This window comes from Homo sapiens, chromosome 7 (assembly GCF_000001405.40).
Source record: "Homo sapiens chromosome 7, GRCh38.p14 Primary Assembly".
Taxonomy (NCBI): Eukaryota; Metazoa; Chordata; class Mammalia; order Primates; family Hominidae; genus Homo; species Homo sapiens.
The window spans coordinates 40,093,693-40,100,997 of NC_000007.14; the positions used below are offsets into that span (position 1 = coordinate 40,093,693).

Genomic DNA, 7,305 nt, shown 5'->3' on the forward strand with positions numbered 1-7,305 from the left:
CCAGGAATTCAGTACCTATCTGTGCAACATAGTGAGACCCTGTCTCTAAAACAATTTTTTTTAATTAACTGGGCATGGTAGCACATGCCTGTGATTCCAGCTACTTGGAAGGCTGAGGTGGGTGGATCACTTGAGCCCAGGAGGTCAAGGCTGCAGTGAGCTGTGATCACTCCACTGCACTCCAGTCTGGGTGACAGAGTGAGACCGTGTCACCAAAAAAAAAAAAAAAAATTTTTTTTTTTTTAAAGAGAAGCCATATACAGTAAAATTTACCAGTTACCATAGTACTTGTAAACTTTTTGCTTTTTTCATTTAACATTTTGCCAGAGATGGAACTTCTAATCATCTTTAGAACTACCTACAGGAAACACTGAGTATTTTGAATATTTAGTTTTCCATGGTAACTTTTGACCTTGTTTTTGCTCTGTTTCACTTAGGACAAGATGACCTCATCCAGCATCAAGATATGAGGATCTTGGAGCTAACGCCAGAACCAGACCGGCCTCGAATTCTGCCTCCTGACCAACGACCTCCCGAGCCTCCTGAACCACCACCAGTCACTGAGGAAGATCTAGATTATCGGACAGAAAACCAGCATGTACCCACCACCAGTTCTTCATTAACTGACCCTCATGCCGGAGTGAAGGCAGCCCTGTTACAGCTGCTTGCTCAGCATCAGCCCCAGGATGACCCCAAAAGAGAAGGTGGGATTGATTATCAAGCAGGAGACACTTACGTGTCCACTTCAGACTACAAGGACAACTTTGGATCCTCTTCTTTCTCTTCTGCTCCTTATGTTAGCAATGATGGTCTAGGAAGCAGTTCTGCTCCACCACTAGAACGACGTAGTTTCATTGGAAATTCAGATATTCAGTCTTTGGATAACTACAGTACTGCTTCATCTCATTCTGGTGGTCCACCTCAGCCTTCTGCCTTTTCTGAGTCATTTCCCAGTTCAGTAGCTGGATATGGAGACATTTACCTCAATGCTGGTCCCATGTTGTTTAGTGGAGACAAGGACCATAGATTTGAATATAGCCATGGTCCTATTGCAGTCCTGGCAAACAGCAGTGACCCTTCCACGGGGCCAGAGAGTACTCATCCTTTGCCAGCAAAGATGCACAACTATAACTATGGTGGTAACTTACAGGAAAATCCGAGTGGCCCCAGCCTCATGCATGGACAGACCTGGACTTCTCCTGCCCAAGGACCTGGATATTCACAAGGATACAGGGGACATATTAGCACATCAACTGGCAGAGGCAGAGGCAGAGGGTTACCATACTGAGTATCTGTTTTTCCTCAGGCACATCATTTTTATCTGGAAAGACTTTTCTAGCTGCAATTTAAGGCAGCAATCCAAGAGACTTGAATAATAATAATTCAACAACAGCTTTATTTTTATGTGGAGAAGGGTCTTGCATACAATAGTTTAAAAAAGACAAAAAAAACCTTTGCTTAAATTCATGCTGTTCTAAAAACTAGATCGATTGTACATCTTCACAAATTCTAGTTAACAATTTTATTTTGTATTCTTGCAGTTTTAAGTGGATGCTAATTTTAGGGGCATAAGCCTTTTATGGCCCTCTTGCAGATCTTCTGAACTATGCACATTTGTGCTTTTTTTGTAAGTTTGGACCAACTTTTATGTAACAAACAGCCCCTCCCCACCTCCAGTTTTACAACAATCAGAAAGGGCACTGATTTATTTGGTATTTTTCTTTTTACAAAGCTACCTTTAGTCAAAGGTCACTGTCAGTCTTTGCACCTGCTTTCAGTGTTATTGTGAAAGGTGTACTTTGTGCTCATTTCAGAAAATAAAACACAACCTTTCTCTTGATGCAACAGTTTTATAAAAAAAAAAATGGTCAACGTTATTTTTGTTTTGTTTTGCAGATTATCAAAGCCTAGCAAAATGCATTTAAATGAAATAGTGGGTTTTATATGAAAACTATGGGTGGGGTGGGGAGGGAAAGTAAGTGCCTTAACAGGTAAGCTTAAGGTCTGAAAAAAATAGTTAACTTTTACCCCCATTTGTCTTTTAAAGGGAATCAATGCATTAAAAAGGCAAGAAACTCTGAAGTTTCAGGGGCTGCCTGTTCAGTTCCTGTTAGGTCCATTCCCTCTGCTTGTCACACTTTCTCCTTTTCTGCCTGTCTTTGGGCTGTGTTGCCTTTCACTACCACCTTCTCTTGATAGGGGAGTGAGAGCAAAGAAAGGGAGTAGAACTGCAATCAGTACATATTGTTTGAGAAGTTCTACAAAGTTTTGTCATTTAAATGGTTGAAAGTAATAGCTCCAGGAGAATTTTAGAGTACCATTTTCTTTCAGGCTGCCATATTATCCCTGTTTCCATTTGCCATGGATAATTGGAGGGTCATGGTATAGAAGCAAGAGTTAATAACAGAACTTGCCTAAATGTGTTAAAGTTCATGGGGGAGGGGTGGCAAATACCGTATTTTAAGTTATGCAATTGCCCTTTTAAGAAAGTCAATTCTATTCACTTGTTAACTAGAAACATTGCTTAGATTGAATTTATTGAAGCAAAAAGAAAAGGCAATGAGAGAGAACTTTTATCTTCCTTCCTGTCACATTCTGTAAAGTTGATTATGACTTCTGCCAGACTTAGAGCAACAACTTTAGTTCATTTTAACATTTTTTTTTAATGAAGAGCATCAAAGAATGGAGTAGTCCTTATTTAAACTGTAATGGTGTCAAGTCTCACTGTGTGCACACTCTCACACATACACACACAATTATACTAATTCTAGAAAGGAACCAAAGGTAAATAACCAGTGTTTCCATTATCACTAAATGGAAAAATTGACTGGAAGTTAGAGTTGTGCCAATTAATCATTTTGTTCATCAACTGTTCTGGTAACTTATTTTTTTTTATTGGAATCTTAAATTGGAACAACTGTTACAGAATGTATATTGCTCCAGTTCTAAAGCCAGTTAACCCTGTGCCCTCTAACTTATGAACCTTCATTTCAAAACAGTATGTGGGAAGTCCTGTAGTTTGATAAGAGTAAAATTATTTTAAAGAGGATAATTTACCATTTTACTACTATAAAATAAGTTGATATCAGTTGACCATTTTATTTTTTGATGGACTCTTTTTGTTGGGAGAAAGAAATGAATGGAAGAAAAAAATATGTTGCTTTTATTTGAATATTGATTACTAACAACTTATAAACTACATTGCAGGAAATGAAGAAATATTTTGAAATTAGCAAAATAGCAACAGTATTCAAGTATCTGAAATTTTAATATGGTGAGTCTTAGAGCTTTAGACTTTCCTATAAGTGACAGTATCTAAGTTATTCTTAATAGTCACACTTGATAATTCTGCTGACCATAAGCAGCTAACCTACAGTTGAAGATATTTATGTGACATGAATAGCCTGTGTTTTAAAAATTAAATATTTTATATAAAATTGAACTGTGTTTGGATAGTTTTTCTAATCAAACATTTCAGTTATATATTTATGTTGGGAGAGTGGCTGGGAGGACAGGGAAATTGTTGCTTTGACATTGAAAATTTGAACTAGAACTTCTAATATTATCCTTACACAGCACTACTGTGAGACATACTAGTCTTTTATATGTCACTTAGAAGAAAAAATGTTGCCAATTAAGCCACAATACAATGCTAAGACGTCATCAATTGTAAGCTGCATCCCAGATTCAGACATATTATATGAAAATATGTCTTATAATTGATGAAATATGATAGTAAAAAATTTTAATGCTTCCCTTCATAGCATTTAATATTTTAATTCAGTGAATTTGGATTAATAGAACAAAGTTGGGAAATCACTAGTTCTGTAGGTTATAACAGCAGTCATCGCTGAAAATTTGAGTGAAATCTAAAGAACACAAAATATTGCTTAAATTTTTTGGAAAAAAGCAGGTAAGTCAGACTGCAAGTTAAGAAGACAAAAATATAAAAGATTTGACCTGCCAAAAGAAGAAAGTATTTATCTTCTCCCACGTGAAATTCCCTTTTGTATTTACTGACACAGCAGGTTTTTCTGCATGCAACTCAGTATGTTTCCTACGTCTTCATTATTTGTTGGAGAGTTGCAAGTCATTTGTGAAACCTTAAAATGCCAATTTTAAGGAGTTGTCATTTGTGGAATGTGAAATAAGGTAATAATTCTAGCTGTGATTCAGAGCTTTATTCTGTCAGCAAATACATAGTCAGTGCCTACAACATGCCAGGTAGTAATCTAGTCCTTGGGGTACATCAATAACCGTCAACAGTGTTAAATCATACTTTCAGTGTGCTGACAGTGAGCAAGATTTTTTTAAATGTCTGGAGAAGTTAGTGGTATTTGCTACCCTCAGCTGTATCTAAATTGCACTTAAGTGAATGTAGGGCATGAAAATTTGAGTATCTTTTTGAAATTTTAAATTGAAATTTGGATAGAGATGGTTATGGAGAGAAATCAAACAACTGGAATAGCTGTTTGATATCACTTAAAAGTGATAAAATTTTAAGTTGAATCTGGTCAGTTTGCAATGGCCTATTTGTAAGAAATATCAAGACTTCTTGAGAAAAATGAAAAGTGAATACATAAATGCTTAAAATCTGGTACTTCTGAGTTAAGGTTTTGCTCTTTGAGCTTAATCCAATTTGGGATGATTTTTCATCCTAGGGCTTTTTGTTTTCCTTTTTTATTTTTATTTTTTCTTTTTTTAGGGGAAGGGGACTTGCTTTCTTTTCCAAAAAGGTGAATCCTTCTTGTAGGACATAGGTAAAAAAAACAAAGCTGAAATATATGTTTTGAATATAGATAGCTAATTCCCTGGGATATAATATCCTTTCAATTTTTTTTTTTTTTTTGGCCCAGTCTGCCTTTTGATGTTTTAAAAGTCTGAACGAGATGTCCCAGTAACCTAAAATTATCCAGTCGGTCTTCTTACTTTACAACTAAGAAAAATAAGGCTTAGAAAGAGGGATTGCCAGAAACTTTGGCAGCTGGATTGCCTGTGCTTGTTCCTCTAAGCCATACCTAAATTCTGCAGTAAATACTTAACTTTTTAATAGGGAAATTGCTTCAAGATAACTTGACCAGTGATACGGTAAAATAATTAGACTATTGGACTAATGGTTTAACACAAGTGGCTTTAAAAAGTCTGCTTAAAAAACAATTTTTATTTAGAAAAAATAGAAAAATAAAAACATCTTCAAAATTTAGGAGCCTGAAGGGGCTGTTTGTTTCATATATGGATAATCTTTGAAAAGGCAAGTCCTGTATGTATTTTTCATTTGTTGAAAGAAGATTGGTTATCAGTAGGCTTGCAAACATAATTTGCTTTTAAGTTCTTTCAAGGTTTTATGCAATAAAACCTATTGATTTGGAACTTTAAAAAAAAAAACAACAAAAAAATACTTTCAGGGTTTTGTAATTTCAAGTGGTTTTTTAAGGGGAGCAATAGTTTGCCATTTACCAAAGGCTTCTCCAGATAATTTCTTAAATGTTTCTACTTAAAAATAAAAGCTATTAATAATAAGCTGTCATGGGATCCATTTGAAGACAGGGAAAATAGAAAATTTTTATTGTAAAGGGAAGAACTTATCCTTTTAATTTTATGGACTAACAGAGTCTGCAGGTCTTAACTCATTTCAGCCTGTCAAATGTGCAATTAAAAATGAATTTTCTAATTGTATTCAAATGAGGCTCTATAGTGAATACAGAATCACTCTTCTAAGTTTTTTCCCAGTTAATTTGTTTAAAAGTGTTGTACTCTCTTGCAAGAACGTTTAAAAGTTAAGTCTTGTAACTGTTAACATCTAATGTATTAATATAAGCCATTTGTTTTTTACCATTTTTTTAAGGCCGTATTCAATAGTCTGTAAATAAATTGCCGTAACACTCCCAGGCCATTTTTCAGCCTTGTTTGCTTTTTGCTTCTATCCAGAACAGACTTTTTGAAGTAATCTTATCTGATAAAGATGACCACTTGTAATCCACTGTGCCGTTTTTTTGACAAAGGTTAAGATGTGGAATCTTTTTTTTTCTTTTTATAATTAGTACATATTTGGAAATAGGAACACAGAGAAGAACACCCCCAGATAACCACATAATATTTTGCCTTTGATGGATGTATTTGAATGCATATCTTGTTTTTTTTTTTCTTAAAACAATGGGATCATACTGCCCATAGCTTTGTAATTTGAATTTTTTCATTTAATAATATGTTGTGAACATCTCTTGGTATCAGTCAGTTAAATTCTATCCTCTTTCCCCCAGTCTGGAATGCAGTGTCGACATCATGGCTCACTGCAGCCTTGAACTCCTAGGCTCGAGTGATCCTCCTGCCTCAGCCTTCCAAGTAGCTGGGACTACAAGTATGCACCACCATGCCTGGCTAATTTTTTAAATTTTTTGTAGAGATGGAGTCTCCCTGTGTTGTCCGGGCTGGTCTTGAACTCCTGACCTCAAGCAATCCTCCTACCTTGGCTTCCCAAAATGCTGGGATTAAAGACATGAGCCACTGCGCCCAGCCCACCCTCTTTTTAATGGTTGTAAATTATTGCTTTATAGAGGAACCATACTTTCACAATTTCTCATTGCTGGACACAATATTTTGGACTTTTCTGTTACAAATAATGTGATGAAAATCCACAAAAATACATACATACACACAAACATAAATCAATTTCCTTGGAGTTGCTGGTATAAAGAATGCACTTTTAAAATGTTTGCTAGATCCAAATCGCTCTAGGGAAAAGTTTACCAGTTTCCCATTCCTGTTCCTTAACCTTTTCATTTAGCCATGTTGGGTACTTAAAAGTTAGAGATCTTTGTTAGTTAGACAGGTGATAAATCATCTTGTTTTAATTCATGTTTCTTGGATTACTAGTGAAGTCCAACACTTCATATGTTAGCCAGGTCTTTTATTAACTATTCAGATGTTTGAAAACTTTAACAGCTGATCCTAATATTATGTATATATATAGTATAATGCATACATGTATACATATATAGTATGTATATGTACATATCTATATTGTATATATGTATGTATATATTGTAAATATGTATATTATGTATGTATATTGTATATATTTGTTATATATATTTGTTATGGGAAAATTTTAATATGTAGTTAAGTCTGTTAATCTTTTCCTTGTTTCTCTTTAGAAAAGCATTTAGAAAAGCTTTCCTACTCCAAAGTTATTTAAACATTTACACATATTTTAGTATACATTTAATTCTAAACCATTCTATATTTTATAGATGTTTGTTTTGAGATATGGATCCAACTTTACACTTTTTTTTTAATCTTTATCTT

The 7,305-nt window shown here is 34.7% G+C and overlaps 1 protein-coding gene across 4 annotated transcripts in view; it reads left to right on the forward strand.

The window, feature by feature from the left end:
* CDK13 (cyclin dependent kinase 13) overlaps positions 1-5,888 on the forward strand; it is a 149,325-nt gene extending 143,437 nt beyond the window's left edge. For 3 of the 4 annotated variants that reach the window (XM_017012750.3, XM_017012751.3, NM_003718.5), the window contains one exon: positions 438-5,888. In XM_017012750.3, the coding sequence (XP_016868239.1) occupies positions 438-1,288 (851 nt within the window). In that variant the 3' untranslated portion in view covers positions 1,289-5,888. The remainder of the gene's footprint in view (positions 1-437) is intronic. The other variant, NM_031267.3, reaches the window with a different exon arrangement.